Source organism: Homo sapiens, chromosome X, assembly GCF_000001405.40.
Source record: "Homo sapiens chromosome X, GRCh38.p14 Primary Assembly".
Taxonomy (NCBI): domain Eukaryota; kingdom Metazoa; phylum Chordata; class Mammalia; order Primates; family Hominidae; genus Homo; species Homo sapiens.
This window is the reverse complement of record NC_000023.11, coordinates 37708161-37732519: the sequence shown is the minus strand read 5'-3', so window position 1 is coordinate 37732519 and position 24359 is coordinate 37708161. Positions and strand designations below refer to the sequence as shown.

Sequence of the window (24359 nt, the reverse complement as noted above, 5' to 3'; positions counted from 1 at the left end):
ATTATGTATGTTAATACCAAGCCATTTCTTTGGTGTTTTATATTTCTGAATCAGTATATATTTATGTTTGTCTAGAAGAGATGTGTATTGCCTCTCTTTTTTGTATTGTGCATGGCAACTGATGGACAACTGAACAGAATCTTAGTATCCAGCAGTGTAATTTTAACAAGTGGAGTAAATGTCTATAAAACAATCAGAGAGGTTTTCATGGACTGTTGTTGTTCTGCAAGGCTGAATCTTAGCACTCTCAAATTTCTCAGCCTACAGAAGTAATTTCCAGGTGAGTTTATAAAACTATAATCAGTTACAATGAAACAATTTTAAAATTTCTGTTTTAAAAATAGTCCCTGAAGTAAAAAGGCCATGTAAGAATTGTATAAAGAATGAAATACAAGGAGAAATTGAAAAATTAATTTATTATATGAAGAAACAGGACAATATTTATTAGCATCAACGACTGCAGAGAAGCAGTCAACGAAAGCTCATATCCACAATGCATTGACTGGTAAGTACTGGCACATACACTCATAACCATAGCACTAATGTTTTAAGGTGGTTTCCAAAGAAATGCTGTATTTGACAATCAATTTTAATATATATTTTCCCATTTACAAGGCTGAAAAGATTAAACTCACATCCAAATAATGCCTTGAATCAGCATTCAAGTTGTAAAGCACAATTATCAAAAGATGTTGCTATATCCTTTATCGAAAACTATACTAAAATGATAAATTCATTTGCCACCAGAAAGTACTTTCTCAGATTCAGTGGGTCTTTTTCTTCCAAGTGCCATGTGTTTGGGTGCTATTTTTGTAAGCAACTAGTGGTAAGAGAAAGGGCACCTGTCGAGAAGACCAAAGATTCGCATATCCACTCAGGAACTCATATGAATGACACTACTTATTTCTTTTCAAACAGTAAAAAAATAAAAATAACCTGCTTATGGATTTGAATAACTATAATAACTCTATAAATATGCATAGCACTTAAAAACATTTTCAAAGCATTTTCACATCTATTATTTAATTTGATCTTTCTGATAACCTTGTGAGGTAGGTTGGAAAAGGGTATTATGGGGAAACTGAGGCATAGAGCAATTAAGTTGTAGTGCTGGACAGGGAAGTGCCAATCTCTACACTGGGCTGTCTCCAGCAATGAGAGGAAGTCTAAACATGTTTGATGAACTTACTTCAATATATTTTGAAGACATACTTCACCCCCATCCAGCCAAATGATAGCAATTCAGTTGGAGCAACTATCCTGACAAGTTATGGGATGTAATTAATTAGACAAAGCACCAAGAAATTTAAAAATTGAAATTATAACTGAAAAACACATTTTAACTCCAAACACATGAGAAAAGTTGCTGGTTTGTTTTATGCCAATAGGACAACCTAGCTCTGCAGTGTGAACTGTAATTTTGCCAATTCAGTAATATAAATAATTTAAAAACAAAAATTATCAGTTCACCATGGCTTATGTTTTCACCACACAGAAAGAAAGTACTGACACCCCTTCCTGAAAGTGAATGGACATACATGTGCCCAAAGCTGGGATACCTGTATATTAAGGGTTAAAACTGACAAAATACCCAAATGAGTTACCAAATCTCTGTCCTTATAAATGTGTGAAGTGGGCTTTGGGTGTCGGACAAACCAGCACTGTTAGTTTGGTTTGGGATCACTCAAGTTGCTCACCTATCTTCTAAATTAAAGTGATTTAGAATGTATTTGAAGGTTAAGATTTTGTAATGGTTTTTGAGACAAGCTTCCAAACCAAGGCTGGAAAAAACCAGTCTCTCCATCCTTGTCTAATTCCTAACATGCCTAGTCAGTGGGAGGCTGGTGGCTACTCCCACACCTCACTCCCAAGGCCTGAGCTGAAGGCATTTCAGGTGAAAAGGGAGCGCTATTGCCCCTACCATTTGCCACTGCAGAGCCTCAAGGCAAGAATCTCTTTCTCACAAAAAGCTTGAAAATATTTGGTGTCAATGAACACAAGTAACTGGTGTGATACAAATATACACTTGGAATGACTAAAGAATGGCCTTACAGCTCTCCTAATCATTATAGAGCCCTTTTGTTAATTAGGAAGAAACAAAAAATGATGTATTAACATGGTAGCTTTATTTTATTCAAAGTCATATATTTTCAAGGGTGTTTTATGTAATACGATTGTGTATCTATGCACATATGTGATTACATGAAGAGTGCATGGAAGTATATGTTGTATGAAGTATTATTTTGATTATATATGCTCACTATTTTAGGCCTATTAAGAATAGTGCAAGTGGTAAGTGATGTGTTGGGATGGAGAACATAGTCTTGAGTGTTATTCTTATTTGGTTAAAAATAGACAAAAAATGATCTACTGCCTGGACACCCCCACAAAGTTAAACCACAAATATTGATAAATCAAAAACATTTCAAATGAGAAAAACCAAAATTGAGGCTCTATAATTTAGGAGCTTATTGATGTATTTCTATGAACTCTATAAATATTAAACAGTATGGATGCCTTGTGAAAGAATATATACTGCTTTCTTGACCTCCGAATGTAGTGGAAACTGATTATCAAATTGCATTTTCTCCTGTGTGCATGAAATTACTTAAAAATTTGACACCAAGAGGAATTAAAAATGAAAATTATCCGAAGTGCAATGGCCAGATAAATACGTTTTGTAGGTTAACAGAGAAGTGGATCCCTATTCCATATGGTAAAATCGAGTCCATAGAGTCCCTTTTGTAAATTTCTCAGACTTTAATATTCATTCTAAATTGGTGTGATCTTTATGGTCACCTCTTTTCAAGTATTTCGCTTTCAAGATTTTAATGGTAGAAATAATGGCACTAGATCTACGCATTTTTCCAAGATAATTGAGGATATGCTACCCAATCCTCTTTAATGAAACAAATAGGGTCTCCGATTAAAGGAAAAATTATATAGAACATTAAAGGGTGTCAGAGGATACAACTGGAGATCTTTATCAAATTAACTCACAATTATGCCAAGTCAAATTGCATTCCATGAAAGACAAAAATTTTCTGGTCATTCCGTCTTTATAATTTAGAAAAAGTTTCTGAAGTCAATCTCTAATTACAAGTGGTAGTGAGGAAAACTCTATTCCTTGAAATAATGAAAATGAAAATTCCCTATACACCTGAACTGGGTGAGAGATTTCTGTGGGGTTTTCTAAAAAACCCTTAAGTTAACCAAGGTAACTCTTCTAAAATGGTCCTGACAGGCAAGGAATGGGGAGGCAGGAGTAAGATGGTAAGAATTCTACTTATACAAGTCGCCATCATTTTGATGTTTTAACACCCCTCCTGATCCAGAATTTCATCAACATATCAAAGAATCACAACTTTCCTAAAATTCCAGGGCTTTCATGGCCAAATTTATCACTCATTTCTGCATCCATGGATGCTAAGGAACAAAGTCTCCAAATCTAGGCCCTTGAATCAATTAGAGACAGCATGCCAGGGTGGCTACAGTTGGCTATGTACAAAAAAGCCCTAATGAGATGAAAATGAAACCTCTGTCTATTCAAAAACCAAACTTGAACAGCCCTCCCTGAAAGCTCTGACAGGAATGATGTTGCTGATGGCAAAACCCTAGTAATCTTTTTTGGTCACCAGGACAGCTCTTGGGTGAAAACTATGTTCAGGGATCATAAAACTTCAGGTTACCCAAACCAGCAGTCTGGAAAACTAGAGAACAGGTAAGCCCCTCTCCTCATTCAACCTAATGAATCTAACCAGTACAACTCAGATTTCAGGGGTAACTTGTCAGTGAAAAGGCCAGTAATGCCTAGAAGAACACAACATGGTTACCTGTGAACTGTGATGCCTTGGGTTGCCCCTTCAACACTCAGAGGTTTTCCTGGCTTCTTCCCATACAGTTCTACATACCCAAGAGCTCTATAAAGAGAAGCAGCTCACAAGGAGTTAACAGCTAACTTCCTGCCTTGTTCCCTGTGTAGGGCTCATTATTTGTATGAATAACGAGTATCAAACCCAGAAAATAATATGCCTGTGCTCTGAGACCTTGGGTCCCATTAAGCAGAGCAGAGATCTTCAGCATTCAAGAACTGACCAGGCTCAGGACTTGTTTTACTGCTAGAAGGTGTCTCATCTCTATCTCTGGATGACTGTAGATCTTCCTTTCCTATCGGCTCACAGGGTTTTTGCTGCCTGCAGGCCCAGCAAAAACACCTGAGCCACCTCTGAAAGCCTTCAGAAACACTGGAAGAAAAGAGCTTTTTGCAAGGGTGGAAGAACTGATAGAATACAAGCATGAAGAGAATGGCTGTGCAGTACCCAATGAGCAGCTGCAGGACCAACAGAGGTGCGCACACATACATATAGATGTCAGTCTTGAAAAGATACCACAGGAGGAGGAGGATGGCATTCTCGATGAATCTTATCATGTAATACACCAGTAGCTGGTACCAATTATGGGACTTGCTGATGAGGTCAGGGCTGTCAATTTTCAGCTGTACAGCAGACCAGCAGAACATGTTGATACCAGTATAGAGTAAAGTTAGAAAGCATAGTACAATGGTGGTGCCCACTCTACTGAGGGCCTTCTCTATGTTCTCAGGGAATGGGGAACCACTGCACCAGAAGAGGATCCAGGGGTACAAGAAGAAACTGAAGAAGTTGATGAGTATTATAACCACCACCCAGGTCTTCAGGACGGAGGTAAAGAGGACCAGGACTACAACTCGAGTGGCAATCTCAAAGCTCCTCCACAGGAAGATACAGACATAGGCCAGAGGCTTCACTTTGACTTCATACTCATCGTACTTGATTTTGATGGCTAGGATGTTGCAGCGCAAGGCTCCATACACAATGGACAACAGGGATATGGTCATGAGGAGACCTGGGGAGAAAAGAGAGAGTATCATCAAGTCTCACCTCCACTAGGAATCCTACTGCAGCAGACACTCTGTCAGCACCCCACCCGCATTCCTTGGACTCTTCTGTTTTATGTGCACAGCCTGACTTCCAGTTGTTAGCATCTGCCCACTGTGCTTGAGTATGTTTTCCAGAACTGCAGAAAGCTGCTGCATCCAGGTGCCTGTCAGGCTGAAGTGCCAAGAATTAATACTCCCGAGAGCGCCCTCAATGCCCCAATTCCAGCCCAGATTAGGAGCTGGAATACAAGTACTATGGCTTCCCCATCCATCAGAGAGAATATCTCTGAGGCATGTGTTCTATGACATTTCCTAGTATTTGCTCTTTGGATTAACTTCTAGTCACGCATGGTGATAGTTGTCTAATAGTTGTCTCCCTTTATTGGCTGCCTTCCCTTCCCTGCCTCATTTCTCTTCTTCCACACTCCTTACATCTTCCTCCCCAGATATATGCACTCAAATTCTTCTCGTAGGGCCTGCTTCAGGGTAACTCACACTAAAATACATTCCTGACCTCATCTGGGCCTGTCTGAATATGTAGAGTCCTTTACATGGTGTGTTTTGTTTCCTCAATTGGCTTCTAAGCTTCTGGGGAATCAAGACCGACCAACCAAATCTGATATTTCCTTTTGATGTCCCTCAGCACATACCAGCAGTAGATATACAAACAGTAATAAGTTGCTCAGTATGTTCCTCTATATCTGCAGGATCTTTTAAACTGATACACTGACTATAGAATACTCACTGTGGTTGCATTCTTAAATTCTGTGGGGAGCTGAAGAAACGAGAACTTCACTGTTACTGAGAGTCTATCTGTCTTGGGCTGAAAGTCCTTAGTGTTTCAAGAAGTTTCAACTCTGTTTATTTCTTAAAATGACTTATGGGTAATGGGTTTATCCAGTTTATAATAGAAGCAGAAGTTTGGGGAGACAAGATGTAGCTCATTTAAATGGAACGTGGTATTACATTCCAGAGCACAGCACTGTTGGCCTTGAGTTGTACTATCTAAGATATATGATGCCAACCCATAAGTAGACTGTGGTCAAAACTGAAATATAATCACTTACTACAGGCTGCCAACATCTCTAAATACTGGCACAAGGAAGGATGGGAAGCAGGGCTATGAGTTAGGAACCGACAGCCTGGCTCTCGTTTTTTTCTTGTCTCACCAGTTTACACTGAAAAAATGGCAACCTCTCTGGGTTCTGTTTTCTCACCCATAAAATTGAGATAATACCCTTCCATGCCTGCTGCTTCATTTTTTAAAAATATCTTGAAATGTTTATTTATTCATTTTAATAAACTTTATTTTTTAGAGTAGTTTTAGGTTCACAGTAAAGTTGAGCAGAAGGTACAGAGATTTCCCATATATTCCCTGACCCCACACAAGCATTATCAACAACCCCCATTATCAACATCCCCCACCAGAGTGGTACATTTTTTTACAACTGATGAACCTATACTGACAGATCATTATCATCCAAAGTTTACATTTACATTAGGGCTCACTCTTGGCATTGTACATCCTATGGGTGCATTGGACATTACACATTGGACAAATGTATAATGACATGTAGCCACCATTACAGTATCATACAGAGTAGTTTCACTGTGTAAAAATCCTCTGTTCTCCACCTATTCATCCCTCCCTAGTCTCCAGCTCCTGGAAACCACTGATCTTTTTATTGTCTCCATAGTTTTACGTTTTCCAGAATGTTATATAGTTGGAATCATACAATATGTGGCCTTCTTAGATTGACTTTTTTCACTTAGTAACATACATTTAAGTTTTCTTCACCATATCTCCTCATGACTTGACAGCCAATTTCTTTTTAGTGCTGAATAATAGTCCATTATCTGGATGTACCACAATTTATTTATCCATTCACTTGTTAAAGGACATCTTGGTTGCTTCTAGGTTTTGACAGTTATGAATAAATTTGTTATAAACATCCATATGTAGATTTTTGGAGGGGCATAAGTTTTCAACTCCTTAGGGTAAATACCAATGGGTGTGATTTGTTTGCTGGATCGCAGGGTAAGAGCATGTGTAATTTTATAAGAAACCTCCCAACTGTATTCCAAAATGACTGTACCATTTTGCATTCTCAACAGCTATGAATGAGAGTTCCTATCGCTCCACATCCCCACCAGTATTTTCTGTAGTCAGTGTTCTGGATTTTTGCCAATATATTTAAAGTGTACAACATAATATTTTGTTATACATATATACTGTAAAATGATGACTATAGTCAAGCTAATATATCTATCACCTCACATAGTTACCTTTTCTGTGTGAGAACACTTAGCAAATTTCAGGTATTATTAACTACAGTCACCATGCTGTATATTAGATCTCTAGAACTTATTTATCTGACATAACTGAAACTTTGTATCCTTTGACCATCATCACCCTATTTCCCAGAGCCATTCCTGCCCCTAGTAACTACCATTCGATTCTCTGGTTCTATCAATTTGACTTTTTTAGATTACACATATAAATGAGATCATGCAGTATATTTCTTTCTGTGTCTAGCTTATCTCACTTAGCATAATATCTTCCAGGTTCATTCACGTTGTTGAGAAATGGCAAAATTTCCTTATTTTTCAAGCCTAAATGATATTCCATTCCAATAGGTATATAGTGGTACCTCATTATTGTTTTAATTTGTATTTCCCTGATAACATATAATGTGGAGTATATTTTCATATGCTTATTTGCCATCTTGTCCATCTTTGGCAAGGTATCTGTTAAGGTCTTTGGCCCATTTTTTTTTTTACTTGATTGTTTGTTTTCTTATTGTTGAGTTTTAAGGGTTCTTTGTACATTTTGCATAAAAGCCCTTTATCAGATAAGTCTTTTGCAAATATATTTTTTCAGTCTGTGGTTTGTCTTTTTATTCTCTTGAGAGCGTCTTCTGCAGAGCAGGAATTTTTAATTTTAATGAAGTTCAGATTATTAGTTCTTTCTTTTATGGATCATGCCTTTGGTGTTGTATCTACAAAGCAATCATCAAATCCAAAGTCACCTAGATTTTCTCCTATGTTATCTTCTAGGAATTTTATAGTTTTGTATTCTGTATTTAGGTCTGTGAGCCATTTCAGGTTAATTTTTTGTGAAGGGTGTAAGGTCTGTGTCTAGAATTTTAAAAATTATCATTTCTCCATTGTATTGTTTTTGTTCTTTTGTCAAAGATCAGTTGACTGTTTTTATGTGGGTCTATTTATAGGCTCTCTATTCTGTTCCATTGATCTATTTGTCTGTTCTTTTGCCACTACTACACTGTCTTGATTGTTGTAGCTTTATCCATGCTTGATTCTTAAAATTCAATTCTATGTAATTCTGTCCATGTAACATAATTGTCTCTATCTAAATGTACAATTTAAAATGTATAGGAATAAAGGTTTTTCCTATTTACGAATAAATGGAAAAACATCTATAATTAGACATAAAAACTCTGAAGCTTTGGTATTTATTTGCCTGGGAGAGAAGCTCACTCTTACTCAAAGCATCAGTTTTTCTCATAGTCTTTTGGCACTGAGTTTAATTAATGATGTCATTCACTGGAAAGACTGGAATCTACTAATCAAATTTAAAAGGTAGAAACACCATTACCTGAGTTGACTGGGAAGTAATTGCACTAAGTTATTTTTCCTGAGAGGCTAATTCAATGGAGCATTGTAAAGCAGAACATATTAGTGATATACTTTGTATATTACTTATACATGTATGTGTGGTTACAAATTTCCAAACTCTAAGGATCCATTATTAAATCATTTTTTCATAGTCCTTATGTTTTCTCCAGTATAAGAAAAATATTTTAAGTGCAGAAGATGAGCTAAGCATAAATTATTACAATCTAAGGTAAGTAGTCACACATGTACAGTATTTATATTGTTATATTTATGGTATTTTAACTCCAAAATATTTATTGCTTTAAGCAATACTATGGCCCACATAATTTTTTCTAGTATCTATCCATTTTTCTCTTGTTCAGTCAATTATTTCCAAATTACATCTTTTTCTCTATCAAGAGAATTAGGCAATTATTACCCAGTTGGTGTCTAGTAGTAATCAACCACAGAAACCTTCTGAGAATGCATAAAAAATATTTTGAAATCATTGGCTTTAATTATCATTGCTACTGTTGGGTGCTCACTACAAAATGTCACAGATAGAAATGGGGTCAGGGAGGGAGACACATTTGGGAGACAAGAAGCTTGTACAAAATGATTCCAATGTACATTTCCAGCTCTATAATTAAGCTGTCATCTAATGAACGATGAGAATGATGCTCATGCAAATACCTACTGATTCAGACTTAAATGGAGAAAAGTTCCCTGACAATATTTCCCAACCTTATCTTCACAGAGCCAACACAAAAGGGGATAAATTGGCAGTACTGCCTATTTAAGTGGCATTTCACAGAAGTCTAACATCCCCTAGTAATCCTAATCTCATTTCCTAGGGGTGTGTATGGATGGAGGCATTTTGCTGTTTTCATTATTATTAGAAGGGAAGACATTACTTTAAGTAAAGCTAAAAGGAAGGCTTTGGCAATATTTCAAACCCTTGGCATACTTCTAAAGCTTCCTCCTACCCAATTCCAGCCAAATGAACTCTTTCCAGATGAACCTTCCTAATTCACAGAGAAATTAATTGTCACTAGGCATGGATTTGTTCATTTCCTGACTTGCCACCAAAAACTTAATCTCTATGTAAAGTTATGGAGAATATTTTCTTCCCCAGAATTCCTCTTAGGAAAGCAATTCTATTTATAGTACAAGGGAACAGTGTGTCTGTTGCTTTAGAGAAATAACAGAGTCTGGCTGTAAGATGGAGGATGGTAGATGGTTGTTTTCTGTATTATGATTACTCTCTGTAGACATTGAATCTTCAGTAAAATGACTGAACTCATGAAATGCTTTTATGGAATAGACTTTTCAAAAAAATTAGTGAATGACTTCAAAGAGGTAACTGGCGAAGCCAAAGGGGATATGGAGTGCAGTGGCAGAGGGAAACTGGAGGAAGTTAGCAAAGCAAGCTTCTGAAAATTAGAATTTTCAACAGATTTCTGAGAGACAGTAATTTTTATCTGTTTTCTTTCAACTCAGTGAACAAAGAGTCTTTCTTACGATCTGGAGCCGGGATCTCCCCACCTGCACTACACTCTATCACTTGCCTCCTCAAAAACTTTGCTGTATCAATTATCATCTTTCCCTTCTAAATTTTCAACTACTCTCTTAATCCTGACTCTTTTCCCCTAGTGTATGAATCTGCCTATGTCAGCTGCATCTTAAAAAAAATCCTTCATTGGTAAAAACACATAATTGTTGAAGACGTGATAGATGCATGGGGGTTCATTATAACATCCTCTCAATCTTTTTGTATGTTGAAAAATTTCTATAATAATGAAGCTATAATTCACAAACATTTAAAGTGAACAATTTAATGATTTTTAAATATTCGCATATAAGTGCAACCATCACCAGTCAATTTTAAAAAGTTTTCATCACCTCAAAAAGAAACCCCATATACTTTAGCTATCAATTTTGCCCCCACTGGTCCTAAGAAACCACTGATACATTTTTTATCTTTAAAATTTTCCCTATTCTGGACTTTCATATGAATAACATAATAGAATATGTGGTATTGGGTGACTGGTTTCTTTCACTCACCATAAGGTTTCTAAGGTTCATCCATGTTGTAGCATGTATCAGTACTTCATTCCTTTTTATGGCCAAATAATATTCCATTGTATGGATATACAAGACATGGTCCATTCATCAGTTGATAAACATTTGGATAGTTTCTACCTTTTGGCTATTGTGAATAGTGCTGTTATGAACATTCATGTGCAAATTTTTGTGTGAACATATATTTTCTTTTCTCTTGAGTTTATAGAAGTGGAGTTGCTAGGTAATATGGTAACGTAATGTTTAGTTGTCGAAGGAACTGCCATAGTGTTTTCCAAAGTAGGTTGCACCATTTCATATTTCAACCATTAGTCTATGAGGATTCCAATTTTTCCACATCTTCATCAACATTTCTTATTATCTAACTTTTTTATTCTAGCCATTCTAATGGGTGTGAAATTGTATCTTGTGATTTTGATTTGCATTTCCCTGATGACTAATAATTTCCAGCCTATTTTCATGTGGGTATTGGCCATTTGTATATATTTTGTGGTTGCTTTTCATTCTTAACTATGAATCAAACTTATAATAGATTTCACATTGTCCTATAGGTATCCCAAAAAGTGTGTCAGAATTCAAAGGCCAGATCTGCATAGACCAAATATATATTATAGAATAAAATGTTAAAAATGCTCAACATCACTAATCATCAGAAAATGCAAATTAATGCCATAATGAGATATCATTTTATACCAGTCAGAATGGCTATTATAAAAAAGTAATAAAAATAACAGATGTTGGCAAGGATGGGAGAAAAGGGAACACTTATACACTGTTGGTGGGAGTGTAAAATGAATAGAAGATCTATGTAAAACAGTGTGAAGATTTCTCAAAGAACTAAATACAGAACTACCATTTAATCAAGAAATCCTACTACTGGGCATCTACCCAAAGAAAAATAAACCATATTAAAATGATACCTGCACTCATATGTTTATCGTAGCACTATTTACAATAGTAAAGATATGGAATCAAACTATGTGTCTGTCAATGGATGACTGTATAAAGAAAATGCGATATATAATGGAATACTACTCAGTCATAAAAAGAGAATGAAATGTCTTTTGCAGTAACATGGACGGAACCAGAGGCCATTATCCTAGGTGAACCAATTCAGAAGAGTCAAATACCATATATTCTCACTTAGTGGGAGCTAAATAATGTGTACACATGGACATACAGTGTGAAATGATAGACACTGGAGACTTGGGAGGGTGGTAAAGGATAAGAAATTACTTAATGTACATTGTACTTAATGTACTTAATGTACAATGTACATTATTTGGGTGACGGAAGAAGTAGAAGCCCAGACTTCACCACTATGCAATAAATTCATGTAACAAAACTACTTGTACCTCTGAAATTCATAAGATAGAAAAAAGGAAAAGAAAAAAAGGATAAAACAGTAATTAGCCTTGTGGCCATCAACAAACATTTAAAATGACAAAAAAGTCCAATTTTATTTTCTCATGCTTTTTGAATTCCCTAAAAAAGGCATCAAAAAGCAAAAGATTTCCATACTAGCATGGCAGATTAGCTTGTTTAATCCATTATTTCTGTCAAGAACAACTAGGCAAACATCTGTTCAAAGGCATCAGAGATCTTCCAAAGCAGTGAGTACTCCTGGGGCTAAGACTTTTGAAAGAAAAAAAAAATCTCTCGAGAAAATTCTGAAGCTGCCTTTTCCCTCAAGACATTTTCCCAAATGAAAATGAGTACTAAGAAACAAATAATATGAATACAACTTATAGAAATCTCTCAAAGCTGGTGGGTATGGGAGCAAATATTGACATTCAGGCCCCATAATGATCCTGGTGTACACCCAAAGCTTTCTAGTAGAAACTCAAAGGACATCAGGAGTAAGGATGACTGGAAAGAGATTAAGCCCTCGCAAAGATTGATATAGATTTCAACCATCTCAAGTCATGACTGAGTCAAGTTGATCTGCATCTAGTCCATCTGACTGCCATAAACAAAAGCAAAATCTTCCTGGAGAAAGATAGTTCATGCAGAGCCTCAAATTTTCTCTAGTTTTTTTCTTACAAATACCTGGCATTAAATTAAAAATAACATGGTATGCCAACAACAAAAAATGGCCAAAATCCAAAAATAATAATAGATAATAAAAATAGACCTGTAGGAGATACAGATTTTGTAATAATCTGACATGGACTTAAAATAACTATAATTTATATGATTTTAAAATTGTGTGACAAAATTGGGAACTTATCAGAGACTGGAAACTATTTTAAAAACTCAAATGACAATTCTAGAACTAAAAAAATACCATAATTACAATTAAGAAATAAACAGGTTTAATAGCAGATTAGATACAGCTATAAAGATAATTAGTACTCACTAGAAGGTAGGTCAGAAGAAAACACTCAAATGGAGAAAGAAAAAGCATGAAAAACTTACAGTAGAGTGGAAATGTCCCAGATAGAGAAAAAGAGAGAGAGAAAGAGAGAAAGAGAGAGAAAAGAATGGCTCTGACATAATATGTGAAGCAATGAAGGCTGAGAATTTTCTCAAACTGCTAAAATATCAAACCACAGATTGAGGAAATGCTACAAAACTCAAGTAGGTAAATATGAAGAAAACCACAACTAAGCATATCATGTTAAAATTGCTGAACACCAAAGTCAAAGAGAAAGTCTTTAAAAGCAGTCAGAAAGTATAAGTAGACAGATGAACTTCAAACGAGTAACAATAATGACAGAGGACAGTAGCATCTCAACAGAAATAATGGAAGCTGGAAGATGAATGATAATCTAAAAGTAGGAAGTAACACAGTCCCAAAGATGAAGGGAAAAGAAATACATTTTCTGTCAAAACAAAAATGAGGAGAGGGAATTTGTCACCAGCAGATCTGCACTAAAGGAGAGATGTTAAAAGTAGTATTTCAGGCCCACAAGAAATGATCCTATGTGGAAGCATGGAGATACAAGAAGGTATGAACAAGGACCAAAAGGGTAAATACAACTCAGTTTTGTAATGAGCGAAAATACCTGAACAGTCATTTCACACATGTGTATGCATGCACATACACACACACAAACATACCCCTAAAATGGCCACTAAAGACATGAAAAGAAAATTAGTTCATTAGTCATAAATGCAAATTCAAACTACAATGAGATACTATACATCTACTCCATCACAAAAAGTAAAACCAAGTGCTGGCAAGGATATGGAGCAACTGGAACTCTCATACACTGCTTATGGGAGTGTAAAATGGTAAAACTGCCTTTGCAGTCTCTACTGAAGCTAAACATTGACATTGCTTTCAGCCCAGCAGTTCTACTCCTGCATATACATGCAACAGAACTGCATATATATGTGTACTAAAAGGCCCGCACAAGGATATTTACAGAAGCATTATTTGTCATAGTCACAATCTGGAAATAACCTAAATATTAATCAAAAGCAGACTGTATCAATACATTGCGGTATATTCATACAATGGAATCCTATACAGCAATGCTAAGGAACAAACTTCTGTTACAAACTGCAATATGGATAACTTTCATGAATACAGTGTGAGTGAAAGAAACCAGAACCCTGATTCCATTTACATAAAATTTTAAAACCCAGGAAAAAATAATCTGTAGTGTGAGAAGTCGGCTTTCTGCTTAGTGGTTACCTTTGGGGGAGGTGGGTGAGGAAAGTGACTGAAAAGAAACATAAGGAGTCTTTTGGGGATTCTGATACTCTTTTGTTTCTCACCTTGGATACAGAACTACATGAGTAAGTTTACTTTGTGATAAATCAAGATTTGCCCTTATGATGAGTATAGTTTTCTGTGTGTACTTTATACTTCAATAATAATATGTATTTGAAAAAACTAGGTACACTATTACTATACTTAGTAGGCACTCGATAAATGTTTATTAGATTACAATTTTTAAAGGCAAAAAGGACTATCATTTCATTGTTACAATGAAGTTGTTTCAGAGATATTTTTCCCTACCCTGGCAAAATGCCAAGTAGAAAATAGACATTACATAAACCCCTATTTAGATTACTATAGCAAAACTCATTCTGCAGATATAACCAGTATGATACCCTAGTACTGTTAAAAGAAAATTCTTAAAGTCTTACTGACTAAGATCTCACTGTTACCAAAATCTCTCTTGAACATCTGCCAGTTTACCAGATGTTTAGTCAAAAATTGAGGACTCTTCCTTCAATACATATTTATATCTTGTTTTGTTCTCAGAATTGTGAGAACAAATACTATGGCCCATCACTCACAACCCACATGATGTGATTATAACTGTATACTCTATAATCCTCAGAGGTCCTGAGTGATTTTGTTCTTTTCTCCCAGCTGTATTTCGATTTCTTGCCTAAGTACCTGGATGACAAGATCTCCTCCAGCTCATCTTTCTTATGCAAAAAATTATTGCACTCTTAATTCATGACAAGGGACTATTGTAAGAATTTTACAGGTATGAATCACTTAATTCTAACAACAATCCTATAAAGTAGATACTGTTATTATCCTCATAATAGAGATGAGAAAGTGGAGACATAGAGATGTTAAGTAACTTTCCAGAGATCACTCAGCTAACAGAGCAGGAATTCCAACCTAAGTAGTCTTGCTCCAGAATCGTAGCCTTAACCAGTAGGCTCTTCTGCCTAAATAAATATAATTAGTCTATTTCCCTAGCAGTGGTCTCAGCTCCACATTTTATCTCTTTTATCACTTGATGGCAGGAAGGAGTCTGCTACCCTTAAAACTGCCCAGGACCCTAAGGAGTCTGGAGAATCCACCAAGCGTACTTTGAGGATTTGTCCAATTCTTCCTTGCTTCCACTGAGCCCAAATTTCACGTCTGTCTTCTATTATGTGAATATTTCATATGTAAAGACCTTCTGAAATCATGCTGGTCAGGCACCCGGGAATGGGTAAGCCTCACTATGCTAAGCTGGTTTCTGAGAATTGCCTCTCAAGGAATAACCAATGATCAGAGAGAAGTGGGGCAGAAGCAGATCCCTCTATCTGCCCTAGCAACTTGTCCTCCTTCCTTATCATCCTGCCTCAGGCAGAGAAAAGGGACATCAGTGAGTTGAGTTACACCAAAAAAACAAACAAACAAACAAAAAAACTCTTCCTTTAGATAGCCAGATCAAGGAAGTAAGATCCTAGACTCATGTATGGGGCCCTCTATCAGCAAAATGGTAGCAGCAAAATGGTATCTAACAGCAAAATGGTAGCAAGACCACTCAGAATCCCAAGATAGAGTTTCTCTATTCTACTGCAGATTTTCAGGTAGGGCAAGGCATCACAAATCCTCTTAAAATGTAGCTACTCATGTACAGTGAACCTTGTAAATAATTCAGCATGGCCATTAGATCCTCCATGACTGAAGCAATTTCTTGTATTTTTCCCTTTGCCAACCCTTGAACCACAGACACTCACAAATATTTGCATGCACATTCTTACCTCCACTAATCTTTTCAACTACCACAATAATCCTCAGTGTACTTTTCCTCCCAATCTATCTTCCCTTCCCTCTTTTCAAATACTTTATTTTTTGTTCTTCTTATTTTATGGTCATGTTTGGTATGTGTCCATGGTTGTAAACAACATGAAAGCCTTTTAGAAACAGGTAGGATATAAAGAATAAACAATAAATGGTTTGGACCTTGTGAGGATATCACTTCTTCTGTGTGTGATTATACCTGCTCAGTGCCTCTAATTCTATGCAGCACTACCAAGACCTACTTACTTTACAGAGATGTGGGTGAGGAATCAGAAGGTCTATACTGGATATTGGATTATTCAAATAGCTATATAAGCAGCAGTTACACGTTTCCCTAAACTCAGGCACAGCCTTGACAAGACACCCTTGTGTGGAGGTGGGTAGGAGGCATATGTCTTCCCGCTGTGTACCACTAAGTAACTTCCATTGACTTGTGGTCACAAACTCCAGGAAAAAATCAGAGCCGACATCATGCCAAAGCCAAACCTAAGTGAAAACTCTTGGTGGGTGGATGGAAGCATTCTCCCCCCTGGCCCATTTGGAGGTGGGTTTAATTTAGGAGGAATGAATATGAACCCACCTTCAAGTCTTGTAGACTTAATATAATCTTATAATAAGCATACACCATTACACAATCATATGGACCATTGTTTAGGTTGCTATAGCAGCTATGTATACTATACTGACTATAGCTGAAAATGACCTCTGGTGCAGAAAACCATTAAATGGAATTGTTGTTAGAAATGTAAGCCAATAAAGTGAAAAAAGTACCAGGGCATCCAATCTACTATCAGATATATACAAGTTATTTCTTTCTTGGATTTGCAATATGTGACACAGACCATAGATGGCCTGCAAAATCTAAAATATTTTTCTTCCATACCTTTACAGAAAAAGGTTGGCCACCCTGCAATAGAACACTTTTCTGCCACAAAAATGAATAAACTAAGTTTACATTCATCAATGTGTATAGTTCTCAAAACTATAATGTTGACTGAAAAAAAATGCAAGTTTCAGAATGTTATTTGCAGTGTGATAAAGTTTAAAGACCTACAAAATCAATATATCCTATTTATGGATACTGTGCCTATGCAGCAAAGTTATAAATCATGCACAAGAATGATAAACTCTGAAATCATGACAAGGAAGACTCACAGGGTGCCCCAACTATACTATAAATTTTATTGCTTAGAAAGGAAAAAAATATATATCTAAAGCAAATATGTCATGTAAAGATTTGATAAAGCAAAGAGGACTATATATACACACACACACACACATATTTGTATATATTTGGAAATATATATATATACACACACACACGTATACATGTATATATTTGGAAATATATATACACATATATGTATATATTTGGAGATATATATATATATACACACACTATACACCTATATAATGCTTTTCTAGAGAATCCTAACACACCAACAGGGCTGTAGACGATTGAGCAACAATAAATGTGTTATTTAAACCATTAAGTCTTTGGTGGTTTGTTTTTCAGCAATAGCTAGCTGATACAGCAGAGACCTCTCACCCCCTTTCCAGGCATATGGCACCACAGTCTTTATTCACTCCAGGCTATTCCCTCAAGTCTCCCTCCTTCAGGAATCTACAAATGAAAAGCAGGCCTCAGTCGCTATGCTTATAAATACTCCTAAACTCCAGGGTACACACAACAAGCTATCTCTAAGGAAGGTGAGCAACTGTTAGATAGGCCTATGGGTTCCCAGCTTCGTAAGCCAGGGAGTGGCTTGGCTACCCTTGTTGCTAGCACCCTTCATCTTGAAATTCTATTTTAAGTGGCTTCTGGAAGGGAGGAAGTAACCTCTCACCATAAATAAGTTACAGAAGATCCTATTCTCTTCTGCCCTTTCTCCCCAGGTAAGTCCTTTTAGAATTGGAAGGTAGGGGTATGTGAGGTTGACTGTGGTAGTGTTAGTTTGTCACTCTCAGAAAATTCTGAAAGAAGAAGACTGGCCAGTCCTTAGTGGCTTTTTTTTTCTGAATGTAATATATTCAGCACATGGGCCAGATGTCATTTCTGCAGGAAAAGGAAAAGTCCCACTTAATTTCTTATTATATAAGAAATAATTTCTAACAAGGAGTACTTCACCAATAGAAGTGTCTTTTGAATACTGACAGCTCCACTGCTGAATATAATCAAGCAGAGGCTGGTGGAATACCTTTCAGGGACACTGAATAAGTGGTTTCTACAGAGTGTGCAAAATCAAACATGATGATCTCTTAGGTCCCTTCTACCTCTAACATTCTCCAACTCCATGAGAAGCAGTGTTGGTTAAAACAACTAACATTGGGTCAAGTGTCCAAAAACTGGGTCTTAGTCTTGGCTTTGGGCCCTTAAACTTCCTAAACCTCAGTGTTGCAGATACTGTGGGTCTCCAACTTAATTGGTATCCTTCCTCTCTTCTTCCTTAAAGGCAGAACTCTAATTCTGATTAGGTACTGCTCACCCTTCCATGTGTTCAAGGAAGATGATCCCAGGTTTGACCACTGGAGTAAATAAAGATTAGTATAGACCAGTCTCCTAACTTATTCTCTGTCACAGACAAATACAAAAATTATACTATTTGTAATTAGTATTCATTGGGTTAAGAGGATGAAGCTGGTCTATCCATTCCAGGCCTTGCCCAGCTGTTCTGTAGGGTCAAGGATATCTACACCTCAGAGAAATCTGTAACTTCGTTTTCTATTCCTGTACCTAGAGATTGGTTTGGCATGGACATGTGACCCAATCTTGGCTAACGGAAACTGAATAGAATTATGTTAAAAAAAAAAAAAGAGGCATTCTTCCTCAGTAAAAAGAAGTACACAGGAAGAAACCTCCCTCTTCATCATGTCTGCATGTAATGTCTAGACCTAAAACTACCTGTAGATGTGTTAAAACATGGCTCCTGAAGTCCTATGAAATACCACCTATCAACAAGTAGGGTCTATATCTTCTCTTCTTGAATCTGAGATCATGTGACTCCTAATAGGATCAAGCAAAAATGATTCTGGTTTCCAGGACAACATATTAAGACACTGAAAACTTCTCCTTCATGTCTCTTGGAATCCTCACTCTTAAGATCTAGCTTCCATGTTGTAAAAAAGCCAAGAGAGGTCCACATGGAAAACAACCAAGGCCTCCAGCCCTCAGTCCCAGCTAAGCAACCAGTATTAAACAGTACCAAATTGCCAGCCCCTAGTCAAGCTGCCTCAGCTGATGCCACATGGAGCAAGGTAAGCCCTGCAGATACCTACACAAATTACAAAATCATAAGGAAGAGAAACGACTGCTATTACTTTAAGTCACTAAGTTTTATGGTGGTTTATTATGCAGAAATACATAATGGATACATGGTCCTCTTGCAATCATCAGGGGAGACACCAATAAGAAGCCAAGGAAGACAGATAAAAAGATGGAAAGTGCCTGGATCCTCGACACTGTTGTGCTAGTAAGTTAGTCAACCATAGGATCACTCTGCCTCTGAACTTATTATATGAAGTAATACATTTTTACAATTTTAAATTGCTTTTAGTTGCATATTCTAACACTTGCAATGAAAACATCTCAAATGATACCCTCACTTTTTTCGTCTATGAAACTGAGATTAATTTAACTTCCCTGCCTAACTCATATTCACTGACCTTACATTGAGTGGTCATATGTGCCAGAACTGGGCATGCACAAACGAGCAAAACAAAGACCCACAGCCACCCAGAGTAGCCCATGATGAATCACTCTCTCCATTGCAACAAAAACTTACACTCATTGTGAAAGCATGAAAAACACAGATAAATGGAAAGAAAAAAAGTACCCCATATTCTCGCTATCTCAGGACAACTAATTGATATTCCAGTGTATTTCCCTTCATACTTTCTGAAATTTTGTGTTTTCTGTGTATGTGTGTGAGTACACACATGCAAAAAACAGATGATGTTGTGCCAAAAGTTTATAAGCTTATATCATGTAAAGCACCACATACAAACATAAAAAGCTATCCCTTCAACTCCCTCCTCACAATATTCCTCTAAGAATATATGAATTAAAGCTATTATCATTAGATTAGTTCATAAAATACAGTTGGTCCAGAAAACAGCAAAAAATTAAGTAAGGTTTTTTCAGAATCTAGTCAACGTGTCTGGCCAAAGTAGATCTCTGGGCAGCGACCTGATCAAATAGAAGATGATTGCATCAGGTTATCAAAGTTCAGAGAACTGTAGTATAAAATTAGACCTATGAATCCTAGCCTATTCAGCCTGCCCCCAAATACAGCAGAAGTGAAATTGCAGGATTGAGTTATTAAGAGTGCTTTCCTAGGAATCCAAGAGTCAATAAACACCTCTGAAATCACTAATTCAAACACCCTATCGTGACCACCACCTTCTATCCATCTGACTTGCTTGCCTAAGAGCTACTACAATTGTTTTTTTTAATTTTTACCAAACCCTCCAGTGAAATAAATCCTCTATTTTCCCACTTCTAGCTAAGAATACTTGGTGTAAAACTTCATTCATTCTCTTGCACAAACCTCAAACATGCTTACCCTTCAATTCTGTCACATCATCTGTGACAGAAATTGTCCCTGGATGAACCTAGCTGTCTTTTTCACAGCTGCATATGCCTAGACAACTGTGATTCAAATTATCATCTCTATTTAGATGACTACTCTCAAACTGAAGAGCTTGAGGCAAGCATCCGGGTGCAGGTGGTTCATTTGGGAGGTAAGCCTAGAAAGCAGAATTGAAGGAGTTGGGTGGGAAGTGGGAGAGGGGAGGAAACAAGGCTAATCAAGACTACATTTTTAAACTGGTTACCACTATAGCAAATGGGGCTCATTCCCACTGGAGATCCACAAAGGATTGTGTAAATTGTACCCCAAATTATCCATCTAAAGGACAGAGAGGCTGAAGTCTTATCCATCAACTACCATCTCCCTTAGTTTGGGGGTGGCCCCATGGGCATTACCTTACCCACACTTCTCATCAGTACCTGAGCTGCATTCCCTGCCAGAGGAGAAAGACCTGAGGCACAAAGGAAGAGAAACACTGCAGTGTGTGCTGCGACACATGCTCGAGATAGGATATTGGCAACGTGCACAGAATCTTTCACCACAGCTGCATGGACATACGGCTCAGAGCATCCAAAGCCTGCTATCAGCCTATGTAGCTCTCCAGGCTACACAGCCATTCCTGCCTCCATACTAAATCTTAAAAATCTTTTATGGTATGTCTTCTTTTAGATGCCCCACAGACACCTCCAACTAAAAATGACAGAAACTGAGAGGAGTCAGAAACACATCCATGGATTTAAACTTTTTGAGAGAATTTGCTGATGGCAACAGTATGGGGCTTCCTCAACTGAGTGGTTTTGCCGAAGGATGAGGCTGTGAGGACCCCTGCCAGGCTCTGGAACCCAGGCATCAGCAATTCTTCTTGAATTGGGACATGTCAATTAGACTGACTGTCCCACCCCTAAAGAATCGGTGGCACTCAGGCCTGTGCACCGGCATTTCCACATTCTGTGGGGCGATGTAACTCCTGTTGTTGTTGCTGGTCTTATTATTTTTCAACTCCAGGATATAGGCTATCTGACAAGTCACCGATACATACTGCAAAATGCATTGTTCAATACAGGTTCAACTGTCTTCCCTCTCAAAATGTCATACAAGAAGTTTTGTTTCCAATTACATACTTATTTTGATATCTCTAAACAATCCTTTGTTGGTTCTCTTTTATTTAATTTATTTATTTATTTTGTATTTTTAGTAGAGACGGAGGTTTCACCATGTTAGCCAGGCTGGTCTCGAACTCCTGACCTCAGGTAATCCACCCACCTCAGCCTCCCAGAGTGCTGAGATTACAGGTGTGAGCCACCACGCCCGGCCATAACATCTGTTCATTTCCTTACAAGTAAACAACAACAGGTTCACATCTGTATGAGCAACATAATTTTACCCTTTTGAAAAATATATTTTAACAACTTTGGAAGTCATAATGAGATGTCCAATAGATTCACCTGTAAGAGTCAGGTAAACATTGCTGACAAGGAAGTGCACCTCATGAGCAGTTAAAGCCTAAGCATGTCCTTTCTTCGCTCTCATAGGTGAATCCAGAGCACCAGTAGAGCTTTGTTGACACCCTCGACTTCTCATTTGAAATCCTCTCTCTACAAATTTTGTGTTTCTGTTTTGTTCTGGTTCACTTAAAGCCATTAAGTTACTCCCCCTTATTGAGAGAAATGGTTTGAAATCCAATTTTAAGGTCTAACAATCTGGAGATCTAAGTGCATCCATGGTTTACAGAAATCTAGTCCCTATTGGGTGACAGGCAACAGAAAGTCTGGTTTGTCATCCTTTTTGTTAGTTTATTTTTCTAAGCTCAAATCACTTAAGAATTTCATGCCCTTTGAGAGGAAAAGAGCTATTAAAATCTGGACTGAGGAGATTTTCTGATTTTGTGTTCACTCTTGATCCATGCCTGAAATTGAAGAATTGAAGCTACAAACTCTATTTCTCTCTATCTGTATGTCTATATGTCTGTAATATCCTCACCTCTGATTGTACGAGTGTGTAATGTTTTCCTACCTATGCACAGTACTAATATATTAGATTATAAACTCTCCCAAATTAAAAGAGTTCTATTCTGATTGGCATATCCAGAAAAATAACTGCTTATATAAATTGAATATAACTAGAATTTCCTAAAATACGGAAATTGTACTATTGATTTTTAAATGTGCTAGTTTAAAAAATGTATTATCCTAGAAACCAACTCAAAACCATTTTAAGAATTCAGACTTCTATAATTTATGTAACTCTTTGGCAAATAAGACTAGTTTAAGACTTTGAGTTTAATGTAAACATCTCTGATTTATCAGTGTCATATTTAATACAAGCATATATTTTTATACTCTTGAGTATGTTTCTCCTAAACTTATACAGCTTTTTGATCAAATGAGCTAGACTTACTCCTGTTAAATATTTAAAATAATTTAAAAACTTAAATCTATTTTTAAGCAACTTGAATCATTGTTCTGATAAATTTATAGTTCCATAGTAATGAGGTTGTGTAGTATGTTACCCTGAAGAGCATTTCCAAAATCTTTAGATAACTGAAGATCTTGGCCATTCACTGGCTTTCTAGATCATTTCTAAGTAAGATAGAATACTGAAAAATTTATTAGTAAGTACAGTTTTCATTTATACACTATTGCTTGTTATTTGTACATGCTACAAAGAGGCTCTATCTTTGGGTCTGTAAATGAACATGTTCATTTCTGCCACACTGTGGAATTAAATAAGGGAAGTATGTGGCTGGATAAAGCTCAGTGAAGTATATTCATGAGATTGGCTAGGCTGCTAAAATGACAGAAATTCACAATTATCTACTCCTTCATTTTCTTTGTGAAATACAAGGGGCTGCTTAAAAGTTATAATTAATACATGTGAATGAGATTACTAGGAATCTCAAGATAATGAAATTTTTATTATGGGCAAAAAAGTATATTTCTGTTCTAAAGAAAAATGACTTGTTCCAGGATAGGAATGAGGAAGAATGGTGAAGGATAAAACCTGAATGAATAAAGAAAGTTGTAGGAGGTTTGCAGAAAGAGTCTGGAAAGGAACACAATTTTGTGTTAACATTTTGCCAAATCTGGCTCAGTATTGATGGGTTTATTTGTGAGACTGTCAAAAGTAAATAGTGGGTTATTTAGAAGCAAATATTTCATTGAAACAAATCTAGAATTAGTTTTTCTGTGAAAATGAGTTTTCTTGGAGTACTGGTCTGTTCTTAATAAGAGGTTGTAAAAGATTACTTTTGGCGTAAATTTGTTTCCTATGACTGCCATAACATATTACCACAAACACAGTGGCTTAAAACAACAAATGTTTGTTGTCTTACAGTTCTGGAGATCAGAAGTCTGAAATCAGTTTGGCTGGGCTGAAGTCAAGGTGTCAACAGGGGCATGTTCCCTCCAGAGGATCAAGGAGAGAATCCATTTTCTTGCCTTTTCCAGCTTCTACAACTGCATTCCTTGGCTCCTGCCTCTTCCCTCCATCTTCAAAGCCAGCAGTGCAGCATCTTGTTTCACTCCTCACATTGTCTTCTTCCTCCGTGATCAAGCCTGCTGCTGCCTCTCCCTTATAAGAACATTTGCCCTCTCCCTCTCCCTCTCCCCACGGTCTCCCTCTCCCTCTCTTTCCACAGTCTCCCTCTGATGCCGAGCCGAAGCTGGAC

The 24359-nt window shown here is 36.9% G+C and overlaps 1 protein-coding gene across 1 annotated transcript in view; it reads right to left on the bottom strand.

Annotated features, from left to right (window-relative positions):
• XK (X-linked Kx blood group antigen, Kell and VPS13A binding protein) overlaps window positions 390–24359 on the bottom strand; it is a 46340-nt gene continuing 22370 nt past the window's right edge. The window contains exon 3 of the mRNA NM_021083.4: window positions 390–4884. Coding sequence (NP_066569.1) covers window positions 4058–4884 — 827 coding nt within the window. The 3' untranslated portion in view covers window positions 390–4057. The remainder of the gene's footprint in view (window positions 4885–24359) is intronic.